The sequence below is a fragment of the Homo sapiens genome, chromosome 1 (genome assembly GCF_000001405.40).
Source record: "Homo sapiens chromosome 1, GRCh38.p14 Primary Assembly".
In the NCBI taxonomy this organism is placed as follows: domain Eukaryota; kingdom Metazoa; phylum Chordata; class Mammalia; order Primates; family Hominidae; genus Homo; species Homo sapiens.
The window spans coordinates 205,148,855-205,171,885 of NC_000001.11; the positions used below are offsets into that span (position 1 = coordinate 205,148,855).

The 23,031-nt window shown below is 43.4% G+C and overlaps 1 protein-coding gene across 8 annotated transcripts in view; it reads right to left on the reverse strand.

Annotated features, from left to right (window-relative positions):
* The window catches only part of DSTYK (dual serine/threonine and tyrosine protein kinase), a 69,198-nt gene that overhangs the window by 6,350 nt on the left and 39,817 nt on the right, over positions 1 to 23,031 (reverse strand). For 6 of the 8 annotated variants that reach the window (XM_047417152.1, XM_011509394.3, XM_047417145.1 and 3 more), the window contains 9 exons: positions 20,309 to 20,978; positions 14,869 to 15,101; positions 14,069 to 14,152; positions 13,182 to 13,358; positions 12,404 to 12,533; positions 11,260 to 11,416; positions 10,693 to 10,825; positions 8,419 to 8,532; positions 1,826 to 1,940 (listed from right to left, as the gene is read on the reverse strand). In XM_047417152.1, the coding sequence (XP_047273108.1) occupies positions 1,826 to 1,940; positions 8,419 to 8,532; positions 10,693 to 10,825; positions 11,260 to 11,416; positions 12,404 to 12,533; positions 13,182 to 13,358; positions 14,069 to 14,152; positions 14,869 to 15,101; positions 20,309 to 20,978 (1,813 nt within the window). Of the gene's footprint in view, positions 1 to 1,825; positions 1,941 to 8,418; positions 8,533 to 10,692; positions 10,826 to 11,259; positions 11,417 to 12,403; positions 12,534 to 13,181; positions 13,359 to 14,068; positions 14,153 to 14,868; positions 15,102 to 20,308; positions 20,979 to 22,652; positions 22,708 to 23,031 lie in introns of all 8 variants that reach the window. The other 2 variants (XM_047417151.1, XM_047417147.1) reach the window with 1 other exon arrangement.

The window sequence follows — 23,031 nt, forward strand, 5'->3', positions numbered from 1 at the left end:
TAAGTATGAAGTAGCCAAAATAGAATAACAGCAGTGGAATTAGAAAGTGTTTTTTTTTTTTTTTTGAGATGGAGTTTGACTCTTATTGCCCAGGCTGGAGTGCAGTGGCATGATCTCGGCTCACCACAACTTCTGCCTGCTGGGTTCAAGCGATTCTCCTGCCTCAGCCTCCCGAGTAGCTGGGATTACAGGCATGTGCCACCACGCCCGGCCTATTTTGTATTTTTAGTAGAGATGGGGTTTCTCCATGTTGGTCAGGGTAGTCTTGAACTCCTGACCTCAGGCGATCCACCTGCCTTGGCTTCCCAAAGTGCTGGGATTACGACATGAGCCACCGCACCTGGCCGAAAGTTTTTTTTTTTTTAAGTAAATCAAGAGAAAGAAAAATGATGACTATCTACTTGGTTCAGATGTTGAGTACGACTACAGCTGTCTCACTAACACCTAATCCTTACATGTATCACCCAGTGAAGGGCTGGGGGAAGACTCGTACATGAAATGAAAGAAATTTAAATATATTGCTAATTTTAACTCTTACCAATACTAATGACTGACCAGGGACTACCTTTCTATCTTCGCTGGCAATGGAACAATCATTCCCATCACTTGGGCTCAAAACCGTGGAGTCATCTTTTAGTCATTCTTTTCTGTTCACTAACCATATCAAGTTAGCACCAAAATTTTGTTCATTCTTCCTCTGAATTAATCTCAAATTTCTCACGTTTGTTTGTTTTAGCACTAACACCAGCTTAATCATGGAGGCAACCATAGAAGACCAGCTATCTAGTCTTACCTTGGTTCTTCCCAAATCATCTTTACCTACTGTTGCTAAAGCTCATCTTCTATCAACATTTTCCTCTGTCCCCTACTCAAAAGCTCAGTAGCTCCTTAAGTCTTGCACAACAAGCCTTGATTCTTCTGTGGGAATTTCAAACTCAATGTATTTTATCTCCAACCTTGTTTGCTACTATTCCCCAAATGGATTTCTTTCCTGTCATGCTTATTTCTATTCTGTGATTTTCTTCATTATTTCCCCTTCTTTAGCCTCCAGAATTTTCTCTCCTTCATGCTACAGGGTTATACTATGGAGACAGAAAGTCCTAGTCTTAAATCATAGCTCCATTACCTTTTAGCTCAATGGTTTTGGGAGTAGGTTTCTTCATCAATCTGGTCTCAATTTTATCCATTGAATGGACATAAAAATACATCATCGTCACAGAATTAAACAAAATATGTGAAAAACCTACCCATACTGCTTAGGTCAAGGTATATACTTAATAAATGAGTTCCCTTCTCACCTACCAATTTCCCAAATCTGACTCAAGTTCTATTCAAAATCTCACCTCCATCACAAAACCACCAAACATTTCCACCTTCATTTATTCCTTCTCTAAACACCAACAGTACATTATATAGCACTTAATTTAGCACTTAATCATACGTTGTGTTGTACTGCTTCCTATTTTACCTCTTAATATATCTCTATGTCAACGGTAAGTTCTTTAATGATAGAGGACAACTCCTATCACACAGGAGTTATTCAATCAATACTTTATGATTAAATAATTGGCTGATTATGGCAGTTATGGCACTAATAACCGAGAGAGATGTCCAAATGGTGATTCCCATTTGTACTTTTTCTTTCTTACTCCTTTACCTCTTCACTTTCCCTGCTACTTGCCTTAGGTAGGTCTCCCCTGATCTGGTTTCTCCCTTGCCTGTGCCAGACCTGCCAGTAGTGATTGTGGAAACGAGCTCAAGGGGTAGCACTCAGGATTAAAGTAGTACGCCCTGCCCAGACCCACTGCCTGCCCTCCAGCCTTACCTGTGAAAAGTTCAGGGGCCATATGGATTGGTGTCCCCACAATGCTGCCTGACATCATGGCCTCTGGCTTGCAGAATCCTAAGTCAGTGATCTTGGCACGGTTCTGCTTATCCAGCTGCCAACAAAGCAGGGCAAGAGTCACCTTGTTTCTGATCCTGCACACAGCACTGCTGCGTACCTAAGCTCAAAGGTAGGTACCTCAAAGTAGTGTCACTGGATAGGATTATGCTCTGAAAATGAGTTGTCAGGTGATTTCATCCTTGTACAAACACCAGACTGTGCTTACACCAACCCAGATGGTATACCTGCTACACACCTAGTATGGTCTTTTGCTACTAGGCTACAAACCTGTACAGCGTATTACTGTACTGAATACCATAGGCAACTGTAACACAATGGTATTTGTGTATCTAAACATACTTAAACATAGAAAAGGTACAGTAAGAATATGGTATAAAAGATAAAAAATGGTATACCTGTAGAGGGCATTTACAATGAATGGAGCTCGCAGAAGTGGAAGTTGCTCTGGGTGAGTCAGTGAGTGAGTGGTGAGTGAATGTGAAGGCCTAGGACGTTACTGTACACCACTGTAGGCTTTATAAACACTGTATATTTAGGCTACACTAAATTTATTTTTAAAAGCTTTTCTTCAATAATAAATCAACCTCTACTTACTGTAGTTTTACTTTATAAACTTTTTAATTTTTTAAGCTTTTTGTTTGACTCTTTTGTAATAAACACTTAGCTTACAACACACATTGTATAGCTGTACAAAAATAGTGGCTTTTTGTTGTTGTTGTTGTTGTTTTAAAGAGACAGGGTTGTGCTCTGTCGTCCAGGCTGGAGTGCAGTGGCACAATCATAGCTCAAGGCAGCCTTGAACTTCTAGGCTCTTCCCACCTCGGCTTCCTGACAGCTAAGACTATAGTTGTATGCCACCATGCCTGGCTAATTTTTTGATTTTTAGTAGAGATTGGGGTCTTTCTCTGTTGTCCAGGCTGGTTATAGGCTTTCTTTTTTTTTTTTTTTAACTTTTAAAACTTTTTTGTTAAGAACTAAAACACAGACATATTAGCCTAGGCCTGCATGGGGTCAGGATCATCTATATCACTGTCTTCCACCTCCACATTCTGTCCCACTGGAAGGTTTTCGGGGACAATAATACACATGGAGCTATGACAGCAACACCTTCTTCTGGAATTTGTCCTAAGGTCCTGCCCAAGGTTGTCCTTACTGGTTTATATATTTACTATATTATACTCTTTATTGTTAGAGTATCTAAAAGGTATGAAAAGATAAAAAGTATAGTACAGTAAATATATAAACCAGTAACAGAGCTGCTTATTATCAAATATTATATACTGTACATAATTGTGCTATACTTTTATATCAGTAGGTTTACACGAGCATCACATGTGTATTGCACTGTGCTGCAACATTACAACAGCTATGATGTCACTAGACAATAGGAATTTTTTAGTCCATTATAATCTTTTTTGTTTGTTTTTGTTTTTTGAGAAGGAGTTTCGCTCTTGTTGCCTAGGCTGGAGTGCAATGGCATGATCTCGGCTCATCGCAACCTCTGCCTCCCGGGTTCAAGCGATTCTCCTGCCTCAGCCTCCCGAGCAGCTGGGATTACAGGCATGCGCCACCACACCCAGCTAATTTTGTATTTTTAGTATAGACAGGGTTTCTCCACGTTGGTCAGGTTGGTCTCGAACTCCCAACCTCAGGTGATCAACCTGCCTCGGCCTCCCAAAGTGCTGGGATTACAGGCGTAAGCCACTGCGCCTGGCCAGTCCATTATAATCTTATCGGACTACATCGTATATGTGGTCTCACTGACCAAACTGTCATTGCGCAGTGCATGACTGTACTTCATAAATCCTGCCGCCAACCTTCCTGTCTCCAGGTTCATTTCCATTACAGGTTGAGTATCCCTTATCTGAAAGGCTTGGAACCAGAAGTGTTTTGAATTTCATTTTTTTTTTTTCAGATTTTGGAATGTATCTATTATATTTGCTGATTCAGCACCTCTAATTAAAAATCCAAAATGCTCCAGTGAGCATTCCCTTTGAGGGTCATGTCAGTGCCCAGAAACTTTTGGATTTTGGAGCATTTTGGATTTGTAATTTTTGGATTAGGAATACTCAACCGGTACTGTCTTCCTCCCCATACTATGAGCAGCATGAGGGCAGGGATTGCTGTTTTCATCTTTGCATCCCCAGTGCTTAGCACAGTGCTTAGCCTGGTACATATGAAGATCCTAAAAAACCCTGGAAGAATGAGGAAGTACAGGTCCATGGAAGGACACCAGGGAAACACTTCAGTGCCTGACTCTCCTCCTGACCCCAGGGCAGAAAGTTGAGGTCCTCCGGTCAGCTAAGGAGAGTTTCCTAAAGTCCCTGTAGTTTCCTTTCCTAAAGGTCGAAGAGAATAAGTATGTCTAATTTGGCTATTGATCAGCCTTTTAGGTTTCAGCTGTCAATTTTAGGGAGATCGTTCCCTTCCCCTAAATTGCTGTCATCTTTATAAATCATTTAAGTATTGCCAGAAACAACTTAATGATATGCCAGTATACTTTCAAGAGGAGCAGGTCGAAAGATTCTTTACAATTCAAATTACAGGACTGGAGGGTTCATGACCATCTCACCATTTAAGGTACACTTACCCATCTCAGCCTTCATCCTACATCTCTGATCAAACCTTAAGCAATAACAAAGCTCAGACTCCTCAAAGGCAGAAAGACTATTCTAGATTAAAGGAGACTAAAGAAACATGACAACAAAATATACTATATATTTCCTGGATTGGATCCTGTATCAAACAAACAAACATACCATATTTAGGGCAACTGAACATATTTGGGACAACTGAAAAATGTTAATATAGATTACATATTAAATAATAGTATTGTATCAATGTTAAATTTCTTGGGTATGATAATGACACTTTGATTATGTAGAACAATGTCCTTTTTCTTAGGAGATACTTAGGAATAAAATGTTTTCTGTAACTTACTTTTTGTGTGTGTGTGTGTGGCAGGGTCTCACTCTGTCACCAGGCTCCAGCCTGGTGCAGTGGTGCGATCTTGGCTTACTGCAACCTCTGCCTCCAGGGTTCAAGCGATTCTCCTGCCTCAGCCTCCTAAGTAGCTGGGACTACAGGCATGCACACGCCTGGCTAACTTTTTTTTTTTTTTTTTTGTATTTTCGGTAGAGACAGGGTTTTACCATGTTGGCCAGGCTGGTCTCGAACTCCTGACCTCAGGTGATTCACCCACCTTGGCCTCCCAAAGTGCTCGGATTACAGGCATAAGCCACTGTGCCTGGCCTTGTAACTTAATTTCATATAGCTCAGTAAAAAAGTATGCACACGTGTGTGTGTGTGTGTGTGTGTGTGTGTGCATGTATAGAGAGAAAGAGAGAGCGTACATTTTGGAGAAAAGAATATGAGTTTGGGTGAAGGGTATATGGGTCTTCATTGTACCACTCTTCCATAAGTTTAACATTTTTCAAAACAGTGTAGGGGGAAAAAACCTTACACAACATCAGCTAGGTCTATGATGAAACTCCTCCCTAAGCTTTAAGTCTCACACACCATCTTTCACCATGCTGTCAACTCTACTACTTTCTGATATGATTTGTCCCCATCCAAATTTCATCTTGAATTGTAACTCCCATAATCCCCACATGTCGTGGGAGGGACCTGATGGGAGGTAAGGGGTTTTTCCCCCCCTTTTGATCGGCACTTCTCCTTGCTGCCACCATGTGAAGAAGGACATGTTTGCTTCTTCCCCTTCCACTATGATGGTAAGCTTCCTGAGGCCTCTCCAGCCTTGCGGAACTGTGAGTCAATTAACCATTTTTCCTGTAAAAGGTACCCAGTCTCAGGTATGTCTTTATTAGCAGTGTGAGAATGGACTAACACAGTAAATTGTACCAAGAGTAGGCTGCTGCTGTAAGGATACATGAAATTGTGGAAGCGACTTTGGAACTGAGTAACAGACAGAGGCTGGAACAGTTTGGAGGGCTCAGAAGAAGACAGGAAAATGTGGGAAAGTTTGGAACTTCCTAGAGACTTGTTGAATGGCTTTGACCAAAATGCTGATAGTGATATGGACAATGATGTCCAGGCTAAGGTGGTCTCAGATGGAAATGAGGAACTTGTTGGGAACTGGAATAAAGGTCACTATTGCTGTGCAAGGAGACTGGAGGCATTTTGCCCCTGCCCTAGAGATCCGTGGAACTTGAACTTGAGAGAGATGACTCAGGGTATCTGGTGGAAGAAATTTATTTATTTATTTATTTATTTATTTATTTAGAGACAGAGCCTCACTCTGTCACCCAGGCTGGAGTGCAGTGGCGCAATCTCAGCTCACTGCAACCTCTGCCTCCCAGGTTCAAGCAATTCTCCTGCCTCAGCCTCCCAAGTAGCTGGGACTACAGGTGTGTGCCACCACACCCAGCTAATTTTTTATTTTTAGTAGAGACAGGGTTTCACCATGTTGGCCAGGCTGGCCTCGAACTCCTGACTTTAGGTGATCCACCCACCTTGGCCTCCCAAAGTGCTGGGATTACAGGTGTGAGCCACCATACCCACCCCGGAAGAAATTTCTAAGCAGCAAAGTGTTGAAGAGGAGGCAGAGCATAATAGTTTGAAAAATTTGCAGCCTGACAATGTGATAGAAAAGAAAACCTATTTTCTCGCTGGGTGCAGTGCCTCACGCCTAAAATTCCAGCACTTTGGGAGGCCGAGGTGGGCGGATCACTTGAGGTCTGGAGTTGGAGACCAGCCTGGCCAACATGGCAAAACCCTGTCTCTACTAAAAATACAAAAATTAGCCTGGCTGCCTGTAATCCCAGCTACTTGGGAGGCTGAGGCAGGAGAATCGCTTGAACCTGGGAGGTGGAGGTTACAGTGAGTTGAGATTGCGCCACTGCACTCCAGCCTGGGCAACAGAGCGAGACTCCATCTCAAAAAAATTTTTAAAAAAAAGAAAGGAAAAAAAAAAGAAAACCTATTTTCTGGGGGAGAAATTCAAGCCTGCTGCAGAAATTTTCGTAAGTAATGAGGAGCTGAATATTAACCAGCAAGACAATGGTAAAATTTCTCCAGGGCATGTCAGAGACCTTAACAGCAGCCCCTCCTATGACAGGCCTGGAGGTCTAGGAGGGAAAAATGGTTCTGTGGGCTGGGCCCAGGGCCCCCCTGCTGTATGCAGCCTTCGAACATGGTGCCCTGCATCCCAGCTGCTTCAGTTCCAGCTGTGGCTAAAAGGGGCCACCACATAGCTCAGGCCATTGCTTCAGAGGGTGCAAGCCCCAAATCTTGGCAGCTTACATGTGGTGTTGGGCCTGCAGGTGCATAGAAATCAAGAATTGTGGTTTGGGAACCTCCACCTAGATTTCAGAGGATGTATGGAAATGCCTGGATATCCAGGCAGAAGTTTGCTGCAGGGGTGGAGCCCCCATGGAGAACCTTTGCTAGGGCAATGCAGAAGGGATATGTGGGGTTGGAGCCCCCACAGAAAGTCCCCACTGGGACACTGCCTAGTGGAGCTGTGAGAAGAAGGCCACTGTCTTCTAGAACCCAGAAGGGTAGATCCACACACAACTTGCACCGTGTGCCTAGAAAAGCCACAGACACTCAACACCAGCCCATGAAAGCAGCCAGGAGGTAGGCTGTATCCTGCAAAGCCACAGGTGTGAAGATGCCCAATGCCATGGGAGACCACCTCTTGCATGAGTGTGCCCTGGATGTAAGACATGGAGTCAAAGAAGATGATTTTGGAACTGCAGGGTTTAATGACTGCCCTATTGGATTTCAGACTTGCATGGGCCCTGTAGCACCTTTGTTTTGGCCAATTTCTCTCATTTGGAATGGGTGTATTTACCCAATGCCTGTACCCTCATAGTATGTAGAAAGTAACTAACTTGCTTTTGATTTTACAGGCTCACAGGCAGAAGGGACTTGCGTTGTCTCAGATAAAACTTTGGACTTGGACTTTTGGATTAATGCTAGAATGAGTTAAGACTTTGGGGAACTGTTGGGAAGGCATGATTGTGTTTTGAAATGTGAGGACATGAGATCTGGGAGGGGCCAGGGGCAGAATGATATGGTTTGGCTGTGTCCCCACCCAAATCTCATCTTGAATTGTAGTTCCCATAATCTGCATGTGTTGTGGGAGGGACCCAGTGAGAGGTAATTTAATCATGGGGACAGTCACCCTCATGCTTTTCTCATGACAGTGAGTTCTAATGAGATCTGATGGTTTTGTAAGGGGCTTTACCCCCTTTTGTTCAGTACTTCTCCTTGCTGCTGCCATGTGAAGAAGAATGTGTTTATTTCCCCTTCCACCATAACTAAAAGTTTCCTGAGGCCTCTCCAACCCTGTGGAACTGTGAGTCAATTAAACCTCTTTCTTTATAAATTACCCAGTCTTAGGTATGTCTTTACTAGCAGCGTGAGAATGGACTAATACACTTTCTGTGAGGACTTTTCTTAGGATCTAACTTACATTTACATGTACCCTCCAAAATCACTCAGCCACAGAGGTAGGGTATAATCTTGGGGAAACAGCTTTTACTTACCAGCACATTTTTCAGTTTGATATCACGATGGACAAGTCCCTGGCTGTGCAGGAAGCGGATTCCCTCCACCACATCTAGTGCTATCTGCAAACGTGTCTCCAGGGTCAGCCCAGCCTTGGGGAGACAAAAGAGCTTACTTGTCATGATAAGGCAACTCCTCAATTCAACTGACTATACTAGGGCACATGAGGACAGAAAAGTGATTTTTAAAAAGGGGAAGAGCCGGGCACAGTGGCTCATGCCTGTAACCCCAGCACTTAGGGAGGCCAAGGTCAAGAATTTCAAGACCAGCCTGGCAAACATGGTGAAATCCTGTCTCTACTAAAAATGCAAAAAAGAATTAGCTGGATGTGGTGGCAGGTGCCTGTAATCCCAGCTACCTGGGAGGCTGAGGCAGGAGAATCACTTGAACCCAGGAGGCAGAGCTTGCAGTGAGTTGAGATGGTGCCACTGCACTTCAGCCTGGGTGACAGAGCAAGACTCTGTCTCAAAAAAAAAAAAAAAAGGTTGGGGGAGAAAAAGCAGTTAGGAGAGGGAAGTAGAGGAAAAGCAAGGAAGAGCAAGTTGTAAAGGAGACAAAGCCAGATAAAATCCCTTGCAGGCTGCAGTTAAGCCGAACAGATAACTTCAAATGTGACTAGCAGATAGAACCAAACAACTAAGGCATGAGCTCATTTCTAACACTTGAAAAAATTCTGGAACTGCCCTTGAGGCTCAAAGTGACTATTTCTAGGTCCCTCAGGAAGATTTATTTCCATTGCTTTACAGGCCTGGTTAGCCCAGGTTTGGTTTTATGGATTCAAATACCAAAGTCACTCATATTACTTCAATTCAGGGTCTCCTGAATACTGGAAAATGTCACATCACTCATTCAAAAGCTCAAAGGACATTCTCTAGCTCACTTGTGGAAATGCATCAGACAATGCTTAACTCCTCTGAAATGAAGAGGGAAAGCTGCTTGGAGAGTCATTTTCTTCATCATATTGATTCCTCATGACTCTGGGAAGCATTTCTAAGGTTTCCTCTGCCCTACTTCTGGAAGCCTCCATATAAACTGGTCCAAGAGGAATCTGTGAGAAGGGATCTACTCGGAGACTCTGAGGTCAGCTTTTCTCTCCTTCTACTCAGCTCCTACATAGGGAACAGACAAAAGAAACCTCTCTAATTCCCTCTTGGTGGTTTAGATAAGGGAAACTCAACATCCAACTGAGGGTTTCACCTTCACTCAAATAAAATCCTTTAGTAGCTTCTCACAGTCTATAACAGAATTCGAATTCTATGGAAATTCTTAACATTTTGGGTCTTATATAATTTGTTCCCAACATCTCTTTGCACATTATGTCTCCTGATTCCCAAAATGAACCAGCTGCTCCAATGTGCCCAGTGTCCTTACCGGCCTTCGAATGCTCTAGGCATTAAGCTGTTCCTTCCCCTTGCTATGGCCTCTTCCTTCCACTGCCCAAATTCTACCCATCATGGTATATTTGTCAAACTCAAACGCCACATCTTCCTGAAATGGTTGCTGACTACAATTCTCTTAATAGTGCCTGTCAATTATACCTTCTGATATCCTCTAATGGTGCTTAATGCTGGACCTTGTACAAAGCAGTCACTAATAAATATCTGTTGACTAAACAACAAAAACTAGCTTTATCCTCCTACAGCAAAAATGAGAAAGAAGAGCAGAGTTACAGGAAGCTATACTGCTCTTCTAAGGAGTTTAGATTTTTACTACCACCACAGGGGTCTGAGTGGTGATGACAGTATTCTGGGCATATAATGGGGTGAAAATAGGTTCTGATAAATCTTTAAAAATTTTTTTTTTTTATTTTTAGAGATAGGGTCTTGCTCTGTCACCCAGGCTAGGGTGCAGTGGCATGATCATAGCTCATTGCAGTCTCAACCTCCTAAGCGCAAGAGATCCTCCCAGCTCAGCACCCTCAAGTAGCTGGGACTACAGGTATGAGCCACCATACTCAGCTAACTTTTAATTTTTTATAGAGACGAAGTCTCCCTCTATTGCCCAGACTCGTCTCAAACTCCTGGACTCAAGTGATCCTCCCACCTTGGCCTCCCCACGTGCTGGGATTACAGGGGTGAGCCACCATGCCCAGCTGAGAAATCTTTAAGGGTTTTTGGAAATAAGTGAAATAAACCCTAATTACTCCAACAATCTCTGATGAAAGCTAAAAGCTCTTAATAAACAGGAGAGGATGAGTGGCCAGAAAGGAACCCGTGGATTTGGCTGCCAGCTGGATCTTGCTCTCTCCTTACCTTCAGCCCTGTGTAGAGATCCCGGTGTAGCCGCTCCATAATGAGGAGCACAGCAATGCTGGAGCCACCACCATAGTTGTAGTCAATGACTGAACCATGGAGATCCACCAATCGCTCATGCTTCGGCAGAGACCTGGAGGGAAGGAGAGAGATCTGGGCTACAAGGCTTGGGCTCTAATCCTGCATGCCATGCCACAATGTATGAGACAATAATTTCCAGACCATGCTTAGGACAGGTCCAGAGGTAATGGCCCTCAGTGCAGACAGAGCCCTCAGTACAGACAGAGCATGGCCTCTTCAACAAGGATGAAGAATCCTGGATTCTAAAAACTGATAAGGCTTAAGGACTAAAGAAGAAAGTTAAATGGAATGATGAGTCTGAGAAATTAGGATGGTGGGGAAAGAGCAAGCAAAGACAGTAAAGGCCTGAAAGGGAGCACATGTCTGTTAGACACAGAAAACTAAATATAGAGAGGCCATGCTGTAGCTCTTGGTACAAAATCTAAACCAGGGTTCTAGATTCTTCTCTGGATCTTTCTCATAGAGATGAATGAGGCCAGGACCCACCTCATATAGTGAAATTCCAAAGCCAGATCATTCCAGTGCTTCTCATCTGGAGGGACAACTGATTTGAGGGCACAAGGGAAGTGTCCTCCCCAGTTGTCACACAGGTATACCACACCATACTGGCCCCGGCCCAGTTCCTGTCCCAGTTTAGGTTTACCTATAAGGTACAGAGACAGAGATAAGGCAGGAGGAATGGGAACTTCGTGGGCAACCTCTGTAAGATTCTTTTTTTTTTTTTTTGAGACAGAGTCTTGTTCTGTCACCCAAGCAGGAGTGCAGTGGCATGATCTCTGCTCACTGCAACCTCTGCCTCCTGGGTTCAAGCGATTATTCTGCCTCAGGCTCCCAAGTAGTTGGGATTACAGGCATACGCCACCACGCACAGCTAATTTTTACAGTTTTATTAGAGACGGGGTTTTGCCACATTGCCCAGGGTGGTCCCGAACTCCTGGGCTCAAGTGATCCACCCACCGTGGCCTCCCAAAGTACTGGGATTACAGGCATAAGCCACCATGCTGGCCCTGTAACATTCTTCATTGTGAACCTGCCTTTAGGGTCAGGAAGCTGTAATCAAGCCCAGGGATAAAATTCTAGTGTCATTCTAACCCAATAGAAAATAATCTAACTGGTTTAATTCAAATAAACTGTGGTTATGTGGTTTTTTGTTTTTTGTTGTTTTTTTTTTTGGAGACAGAGTCTTGCTCTGTCACCCAGGCTGCAGTGCAGTGGTATGATCTTGGCTCACTGCAACCTCTACTTCCTGGGTTCAAGTGAATCTTCTGCCTGAGCCTCCTGAGGAGCTGGGGTTGCAAAGTGCCACCACGCCCAGCTAATTTTTTTAGTAGAGATGGGGTCTTGCCATATCGCCTAGGCTGGTCTTGAACTTCTGAGCTCAGGCAGTCCACCCACCTCAGCCTCCCAAAGTACTAAGATTACAGGTGTGAGCCACCACACCTGGCCTGGTCATGTTATTTGAACTATATAAATAGCAGGAAGAGACTTTAGGAATTCAAAAACATCAGTAAGGGTTTAGGCAGCTTTGCAAAGAAGCAGCTTTAGACACTAGGATTCTCTGAGGCTGGACATAAGAATGTCAGGTATCCTGAACCATCCTCCAGTTTATCTAGAAGAAAACCAGACTCACGATGAAGCAAGACATCCTGTAAAGAACAGCTTTCCAGAGAAAGGCGGGCCAGGCGGGGAGCATGATCTTTCCGAACCCTCAGCCATAGATCTTCCGTTTTCTCTAACCGGCCTGAGTGGCCAGCTTCCAGCTGGGAGAGAAACAGAAAAAGTACATATGACTTAAGTCCCTAGCTTCAGCTTCCTCACCTGTTATACAGGGATAATAATATCTACTTCATATAGATAATTGTGAGAATTAAACAAGATACATGTAACATGTTTAGCACAGAGACTGGCACAGAGTAGACTCTCAATAAATAATAACTTTTCCTCCTGGATGCATACTCACATCTATCCACTCTCTGCCTGGACACACCCACTCCCCGCCAGTGGACAATCAGATGTCAAACAATTATGAAATATAGAAGTTGGAAAGTCATGTCCTTCTGTCATTTGTTCCTAAAATACTATATAAACATACAAAATTCCTACTCCTATTATCTTTCCTCACTCTGAAATGGGCAGGAATTAACTGAGCTCACTCCATTCTCCCGAGAGTTAGGAAAATATCCACATGAAAAATTTATTGAAAAAACTTCCTATAACAATCTAGAAAGAAAATATACTGATGATTTTAATATACATATGTGTGTGTGTGTATATATATGTGTATATATATGTATACACACACAGACACACACACATATTATATATGAAGAGCGGAGAGCGAAATATTCCCATCTGGATGAGGCTCTTCTCTGCTTGATCCAGCTGTATCTCCTTTCCTACATACCAACCTGCCGCAAGGAGGCTGCAAAAGCCTCGTGGGAACTATTGAGCCGAGTCCGGAATTGGCTGCAAATGCTCTTAGCCAATTTGGAGGCGCTGAGGCTCTCAATGGCTTCCTGGGCCACCTTCCTCTTCCATTCCAGAGTGATGGCAGGTGGGCTCACCCATGTGATGCGCTGGATGATCTACCAGGATGAAGACAGCGAGATCACCAAGGAATGAGAGACAAGAACCACTACAAAGATCCAGTGTCCTTCCTTTTCTGGGTTACCCATTCATTAAGAGCAGGCTCATAAGATGGGAGCCATACGAAGTCCAAAGTTCCTTTCCAATTCCATCTACCACAAAATCAGGTCCTAGCCCAGAGAAAAGCATCAAAGAACACCAGGCCTAGTCTACATGCTCACAAACCCTCAATATATTACATTCAGTGCCAGGGAGTGCCTGATAATCTTTCTGAAGTCAGTAAATAACTCTACATAAGAGCCAGATCAAATTCCAGAACAGAAACCACATTCACAGCCTCTGGCAACAACAAAGCCTAGTTCTGAGAAAAGATTTAGGCTGGGAAAAAGAAATATGAAGAAGCTAGTGTGGTAGAGTCTTATGGCTCCATGAAATATCATTTATCTTTTTTTTCTATTTTTCCATTGTCCACAAAGAGCACCCAACATAAAAATCATTTAAACCCAAAACTTCTGAGAGTTCAAGGGAACAATGTTAATAATTATTTAAGAATAGGCATAAACCAGAATTCTCCCAGGCAGGCAAACCAGAACAAATGGTCACCCTGCCTTAACAGAAGATCCTAGATATCTGTTTCCTACTGGGGTCACTATGATTCATTTGAGCCAACTAGGGGCTTTGAAATCTTTCTCTAAGTAATAATCCCTACCTGTTTGATTTGCTCCCATAGCATCCTTGTAACTGACGACCCTGAGTGAAACGTGACTTCAACATGATAGGCAGCATTTAAGATCTGAAAGAGACAACGCCAAAGAAAACATGTCCTCAGTAGTGTGGCTATTTTAAAAATGCAATAAATGATACTTATTTCAAGAACACAGTCCAGACTCAGGGTTTCCAAACTTACCCCTCAATATATATGCAGAGTCAACTTAAGCTGATTATTTATTTTGTGACTATCTAGCCCCTTCTACCTCATCTTTATATTCATCAACTTATTTTTTTATTTTTTTTTTTATTTTTTAGACAGAGTTTCACTCTTGTCCCCCAGGCTGAAGTGCAATGGCGTGATCTTGGCTCACCGAAACCTCTGCCTCCCAGGTTCAAGCGATTCTCCTGCCTCAGCCTCCCAAGTAGCTGGGATTACAGGCATGCACCACCACGCCCAGCTAATTTTGTATTTTTAGTAGAGATGGGATTTCTCCATGTTGGTCAGGCTGGTCTCCAACTCCCAACCTCAGGTTATCCGCCCACCTCAGCCTCCCAAAGTGCTGGGATTACAGGCGTGAGCCACTGTGCCTGGCCTATATTCATCAACTTAACTGCAGTTTTACAGCTCACCAACATCTCCCACAGGCAGTGGTCATGTGACAGGAAAACAAAATAAAATTCAAACAAGATTCGCAAGAAGCTGAAAGGGAAATTCTTGCCTAATTTGAAGTGTGGACTTGTGCAGATTTTTCATGTGCTATCTATGACACGATGTCTTAAAAATCATTCTTTGTCTACCTGTTTGAGATAATTACTGGTGATGTGAACTGAGACATCCTGAGACTTCTCCAGGCTCTGCAGACATCGTTCCAGGGTTCCGACGAAGCTTTCCCTCAGGTAATCCACTGAGCTGATCAGCTTATTAGCCACTGCCTGATTAAGTCGGGAGATGATGAGTTCCTGGATCTGTCGGATGCAGCATTTGATCTCTCTGGTGCCTACTGGTTCTCCATTCTCAGGGACAATGACGTCTATGGAGGCAGAGAAATAAGCTGAATAGTTGTGAGGAAGAAGGGGCAGACACACTAAATAAAGTCATCTCCCAAATCAGAACCATGGAACTACCGTGATGATGATGGCTGCAAAAAGACATGATTCGTTGATGATGTCTAACTCTCACAATGATCAGGGGTCACGTAACCCTCAACTACTAAAGGCAGCTAAGATCCTGAGAAGAAGCAATTAAGTCCAGGTGCAGTGATTCACGCCTGTAATTCCAAAACTTTGGGAGGCTGAGGCAGGAGGATTGCTTGAGCCCAGGAGTTCAAGATGAGCTTGGGTAACAGTGAGACCTCATCTCTACAAAAAGTAAAAAGATGAGGCAGGCGGGAGGATGGCTTGAACCTAGGAAGTAGAGGCTACAATGAGCTGTGATTGTGCCACTGCACTCCTGCCTGGGTGATGGGAGTGAGACCCCGTCTCAAAAAAAAAAAATAAATAAGAAGCAATAAGTCTAGAATGAGACTGTTGATTTTGTTAGCTTTTTTTTTTTTTTGAGACGGAGTCTCGCTGTGTCGCCCAGGCTGGAGTGGAGTGATGCAATCTCGGCTCACTGCAAGCTCCGCCTCCCGAGTTCAAGCCATTCTCCTGCCTCAGCCTCCCGAGTAGCTGCGACTACAGGCACCCGCCACCACGCCTGGCTGATTTTTTGTATTTTTAGTAGAGACGGGGTTTCCCCATGTTGGCCAGGATGGTCTCGATCTCCTGACCTCGTGATCTGCCCACCTCGGCCTCCCAAAGTGCTGGGATTACAGGTGTGAGCCACCGTGCCCGGCAATTTTGTTAGCTTTTATGTCACATTTATAGGAGGGGAGGAACAACATTTATGAAGTGCAAACTATTTGAAAGGCACTAAAATAAGGATTTTACACATGTAATCTAATTTCATCTTCACAATAACTTTGTTACATGGGTATTATAGATCAGGAAACAGCCTCAAAGAGAGAACAAAGTAGACATGGGAAGGGAATAGTACAGTTAGGAAGTAATACAGCCAGCTTTTGAACCCAGTGCTCATTATTCCAAATCCTATGATCTTTGCAAAATTTCACACTCCCTAGCATATTAATGAGAAAAACCCAAGAGTCAGGAATTGTATTCTATGTTTTGTTTTGTTTTGCTTTTTTTGAGACTGAGTTTAGCTCTATCGCCTAGGCTGGAGTGCAGTGGCACGATCTCGGCTCACTGCAACCTCCGCCTTCTGGGTTCAAGTGATCTTGTGCCTCAGCCTCCCAAGTACCTAGGATTACAGGCACCCACCACCACGCCAGACTAATTTTTGTATTTAGTAGAGATGGGGTTTCACCATGTTGGCCAGGCTGGTCTTGAACTCCTGACCTCAGGTGATCCGCTCACCTTGGCCTCCCAAAGTGCTGAGATTACAGGCATGAGCCATTGCCGCCGGCCAGGAATTTTATTCTAATCAATTACTAGATAAATAAAAAGTAAAACTCAATTGTCCCCACCATGCCACACTATCTCTTAGGATTAGAACATCTATTAATGTTGTAAATCAGAGGACAGAAGAACTTGAGAGAAGTCAAACTACTTGCAAAAAGATGTGCTCCTGAAAAGGCACTCTCATGTCTACTGGTGGAAACTTAAATGGGTGCCACTTCTTCAGAGGAAATTTGGCAATATCTATTAAAATGTTCAACCAACCAAGAAAAATCTACATACCCTTTGATCTAACTATTTTGCTTCTAGGAATTCTTTTTCTTGAGATATACCCTTACAAGTCCCAAGGTGTATATGTACAATGATGATTAATGCAGTACATTTTGTATTAGCGAAAGAGAAAATAAAAAATAAACAAATAAGCCTGGCCAACATGGTGAAACCCTGTCTCTACTAAATACAGGTATGATGGTGTGATGGTGCACACCTTTAGACCCAGGTGTGATGGTGCACACCTTTAGACCCAGCTACTAGGGAGGCTGAGGTGGGAGGATTCCTTGAACCCAGGAGGCGGAGGTTGTAGTGAGACTAGACCAGGCCTCTGCACTCCAGCCTGGGCGACAGAACAAGATCCTGTCTCAAAAAAAAATAAATAAATAAAAATAAAAAACAAAAACAAACAGCTTAAATGTCCACCAATGAGAGAATAGTTCAATAAATTCAGGCATATCCATTAGAAGAAGACAAATTTGTATGAATATTTATGGAATGCCCTCTAAGATACATATTAAATGAAAAAGACAAGTGCAGAAGAACATATGGAGAAGAACTGGGTGGCTGGGGGATGGTGTCTTTATAACTCTGAGTTAAGTACTATACATATAGGTTTTATCTTAAAAATAAATTTTATAAAGTGTGAATATCATGATACCTAGCACATATGCATTGTCTTTATTTAAAAACAGACAGTAATAGTAATCTGGCTCAACGCTGGGCACGATGGCTCATACCTGTAATCCTAGCACTTTGTGGGGGCTGAAGCAGGAGGATCGCTACAAGCCTGGGCAACACAGCAAGACCTCGTCTTTACAAAAAAAAAAAAAAATCTGGCTCCATAGAATATGTGCTAGCTTGCTTCTAAATCTTCTTATTGTTTCAAGGATACTCAGAAAGCACTTAGAACAAGGTAAGAACAATCGGATACTTTACTGTCTGCCCAACCTAGCTGTCCTGACCTCCATTCTGTGTAATATGATGCCGGCAGTGATGCTCTGGTGTCTTTAATCAAATATTGAGAAGACTTCCTAAGATTTCCACTGCAAGTAACACTTCTCAACAACTCCTCTCGCAGTGGGGAATTAACCAAAGAGGTATCTCTGTTCATCTTTAGAATGACTATAAGAAATCAGGCAACCTATGTTTGCTAAAGTCAACCATACTTCCTTTGTATTTATAAGTGTAACTTAAACTAGATACCATCATTCACACACTCATTGATTCTCCAAAGACGTACTGTATACAAGAGTCTGTGTTATTTGCTGCAAGGAATATGATGATGAATAAGACCCAGATCCTACCCTCTTTCAACTCTAGGATTTTAGGAAGTAGTCCGCAGTACATAAATAACTATAATAAAAGATAGAAAGTGAAATATGCCAGAAATAAGTTACAGATGGAATGCTATGGGATTTCAAATGACTGCAATTGTTATTAGCTAAGAAAATTAAAGCAGGGCTAGGTGTGATGGCTCATGCCTATAATCCCAGCACTTTTTAGGAGGCCGAGGTGGGAGGATTGCTTGAGACCAGGAGTTCAAGACCAGCTTGGCCAACATGGTGAAACCCCTGTCTCTAAAAAAAAATACAAAAAGTTAGCTGGTGTGGTGGCATGTGCCTGTAGTCCCAGGTGTGCAGGGGGCTGAGGCAGGAGGATTGCTTGAGCCCAGGAGATTGGGGCTGCAGTGAGCCATGACTGCACTACTGCACTCCAGTCTGGATGGCAGAGCAAGAACCTGTCCCAAAAATAAAAAAAGAAGGAGAAAATTAAAGAAGACTTCATGAAAAATGGCATTTGGGAGACAGGCCCTGATGGGTAGGTAGGATTTGGAAGTTCACAGACAAATCAAAGACATTCCAGGTTTAAGGCAGGGTGTTAGCAAAGAAAAAGTAAAGGGAGCGTATGGAGGACAGAAAGAAGTTAAGACCAACTGACATAGAAAATACAGGAAAGTGCATAGTGGGGAAATAAGACTGGAAAAGTTGGTAAGGGCTAGGCTTTGGGAGGTCTTTAATACTAGGTGTAGGAGTTAAACTTAGTCTGTAGAAGTAGGGAGCCAGTAAAGGTGAACTGAAGAAAGAAGTCAGGGAGATCAGTTAGATAACAATAGTTCAGTTAGACTTAAGACAGAATAGAAAAGCATAGATAGGTATCGAATACGTAAGAAGATTAATCGAGGCCAGGTGTGGTGGCTCACGCCACCCAGCACTTCGGGAGGCCGAGGCGGGTAGATTACGAGGTCAAGAACATCCTGGCCAACATGATGAAACCCCGTCTCTACTAAAATACAAAAAAAAATTTAGCCGGGAACGGTGGCACACGCCTGTAATCCCAGTTACTCGGGAGGCTGAGGCAGGGGAATTGCTTGAACCCAGGAGGCGGAGGTTGCAGTGAGTCAAGATCACGCCACTGCACTCCAGCCTGGGCGACAGAGCGAGACTTAATCTCAAAAAAAAGAAAGATTAATCAGTACTTGGCAACTGATTAGCCAAGGGAAGACAATTCAAGACCATGCTGAGGTTTTGAAGGTGGGTACCAGGAAGAAGGTGGCATCAGTAACTGGAAACAGATTAAGAAGCAGTAAAGGATGGAAATTAAGAATATGGGCTCAGGAATCAGACTGTCTGGATTCAAATCCTGCCTCTAATATTTACTAGCTGTGTGACCCTGGGCAAATTACTTACTCTTTCTAAGCCTTAGTCCCTCATCTAGAAAAAGGAAATAAGCAGAATCTACCTAGGGAGGTTATTTTTTAAAAATACTGATGCTGGGTCCCATGTCAGAAATCGTGAGTAAGTCTGCAGTCATCTTTAGTGGTCTTGAGCATGTGTATTTTCAGAAAGCCTCCCAAGGGATTAGGATACTCACAACTGAGACTCTAAAGGGTAACTTGCAAACCATGTCATTTTAATCTTGCATGGAGGTTTATACAGAAGTCAGTATACAAAATCAGCAGCATCTCAGACACCCAAAGACCTGACCAATCACTTTCACCCAATTTTGTTAGTAGCCATTTGTGAAGAATAGGACTGTCAAAAGGCTAAAAACACAACTTTGGGAAATCCTCCTGATGTGGGCTTCAGAAGCAGCCTGAAAGGAAATTAGACCATGAGACAAAAAGAACCAATAAAGAGGCATGAGCCATACTGCAGGAGCAAAGGTTAAAGCACAATTTACTAACATTCTCCAAGCAGCTCTTCTCCAGCTCCATTAGGGGTTGAGGGGGTACAGGCAGAAAGTGGAGATTACAGAGCTATTAGGATGAATTTACCAAAAGTTGAGCTAATGTTCTTGGGAAGGAATGAGGGTGGAATCTTCCACAATGATCTTTGAGAGCAAGAGAGGCCACCTTGGCTAAATAGTGGGCTCCTGCTGGTAACAGTGGGGTGGATGAAGTTACCCTGAGATTCCTTTAACCTTAGGAATTAACGTTCTTAATTTCCGGCTAGAAAATGGTTAGAGACTCCTCCCGTGCCAGCACCCCAACAAGCTCTCTGGGACCTACCTTTAAACTCCATGTTAGTAGCATCATCCAGAAGTTCCTCCTTCATGGTATTAAGTGTCTCAACAATCATATCCTTCATTTCCTCCTGCTTTCGGTTGGCAATATTCATCAATGATTCATACAACTCATTCTCCTTTTTTCGAGTATATTCCAGACGTTTGGGAGTGATCTGCAGGTCCCGCTGCATGTCAAATGCCTGGTTAATAAAGATGTCAAGGCAGTGGCAGTGCACCAGGTTCAGGGCCTTGGCTGCATCCACCAGGCGAGTCTGTAACACCTGGTGAGAAAATGTGCTCAAGTGTCTCAGCTTTTCACTCTGTTCCACCAACATGCTCTGAGCTTTAGTATCCTGGCCAGGAGCCCCACAGTTCCAGTGACTGCTGCTCAGATAGCCCAGGTCAATTAGCTGGCGATAAAGCGGTGATCTTTCGCTCTCCATTCTCCTGGTTGAGGAGTCTATTATCTCCGAGCCCAGTTTCGGCACTTTGAAAAAGAATACAGGAAAGGAGAAATACTTTCGGATTTCCTGAAGCTCTTGCTCATCCCTCTCAGAGAGTTCATCTTTGTGGAGTGCATAGGTTATCACAGGCAAGAAATCATTCACCAAGTCACCCAGAACATCCACTGTGGGCCGGAGGCCTTGGCATGGTGCTACCACAACGTCCACTTCCTGGAAGGGGAAGGGGGTCATATATCAGCGCCTCAGGGTCAGAACCAATCCCTGTCTCCCCAAAGTCCCACACTGAGACCAAAATCCTGATCTACAATGGAACAATTGGACTTCGGTACCCCAGCCATTGATCCACCTCCTTCCTCGGTTACCAACACTCCCTGGTGCAGCCTATGAAGGCAGGCACTCATCTAGAGAGAGTGAAAAAACAAAGAAGTAGAAAGGATGGCAACCCCTTTAGCCATCAGATTAAAAAAAAATTTTGGTCTCTGCCTTCCTTTATTGCTTAGACATTCCCACTGATTCCCTCTGATGAAGAATTAAGACAAATAATGGAAGAAAAAGGAATTGTAATGGAAATTATCAGACTGGGAGTGAGTCGACCTGGGGCACTCCTCCCCCTCTTGCTCTCCTCTGACACCTCCATCCCTGCCATTCTGACCTGGCTAACTCCTAAGCATCCTTTAAGTTTCAATGTATATGTTATGACATATCCTTATAGAGCCTTTCCTATCACACAGCCCCAACCAAGCACACTTTACTTCCCTCTTCTTAAGGTTCAACATATTTATAATCCACTTCTTTAAAACCTTTCTTTCCCCCATGGGTCTGTAAACTCTTTGAGGGCAGGGACTGGGTCTATTTTGCTTACTATCGTAGCTCCAGTGCCTAGCATGTGGTAAGTCCTAAATACTGTTGAATTAATCAATTAAGCAGGAAACGAAAAGCCAGGTTCACCAAACATTATTACTGTCCTGTTCTGAGTCTGTAGATATCCCGAAGTCTTAGCAACCTAAGTCTAAGAAATACCTTTAGGAATATGATCGATCACTTGGTATGGCAAAGACCAAGGTTTGCCTATCCAATATCTAGTCTCCATGTTATAAGTGAAGGCAATGTCCTTTACAGATAGGGGTATCCGATAAGTGGGTGGGGTTTCCAGGAAAGCCCTTTAGGGTACAGGGGGTGGATTCTACCAGGAAATATGTCCTTTGGCCTTGTCCTTCTTCCTGCTTGGAGCACAGATGTGACAGCTAGAACAGCAGCGATCACTCAGCAGCCCTAAGGCAAACCTGATGGTGGAAGCCAGCACTAAAGATGATGACACCAAAAGAAAGAGGGAGCTTAGGTCTCTGGTGATCACAGAACTGCCATGCCAGCTCTCAGTTACCTAGCTTCAGACTTCTTTCATGTAAGGAAAAAAAAAAAAACCCAAAAACTCTATCTTTAAGTTCCTGGTTTTTTTGTGTTTGTTTGTTTGATGATCTGTTACAATTGAACCTAATCCTAACTGAAATACCCAAGTTTGCTAAAGTGAGTTTCGAGAATGATCTTTAAGCTCGGCGCAGTGGCTCACACCTGTAATCCCAGCCCTTGGGAGTCCAAGGCAGGAGGATCGCTTGAGGTCAGGAGTTTGAGATCAGCCTGGCCAAGATGGCAAAACCCCATCTGTACTAAAAATACAAAAATTATCCGGGTGTGGTGGTGGGCGCCTGTAGCCCCAGCTACTCCAGAGACTGAGGCAGGAGAACGGCTTGAACCCAGGAGGCGGAGGTTGCAGTGAGCTGAGATCGCCCCACTGCACTCCAGCTTGGGCGACAAAGCAAGACTCTGTCTCAATTAAAAAAAAAAAAAAAAAAAAAGATCTTTGAGGTTTGAGGTTTAGAAACAAACCTTCCACAGGTCCTTTGCCTCGTCTGCACTTTCCACTTTGTGTTCTGCTTCTTTCCTGTGAAGGTTCCAAACACACAAGAGCATATGTCCATCTACTGCATTTCCATCCATTGCACAGGTTGTTCCTCTGTGTCTCTGACATTGTCTACTTTGCCTGGCATTCCAGGTGTAAACGGTTAACTAGGGACTCACACATATTAATATATTACCACTGTAGGTACACAGACTCCTGATGTCTTCAAGGGTCTGTAAACTCAGAATCAATCCTCCATAGAATTCTAGCATATTTTAGAGTTATAAAAGAACTCAACACAAATATGCTCAAGTTTGTGTCCTTAACAGTTATCAGATGTTGAATATTTACTTTGTCTGAAGTCTA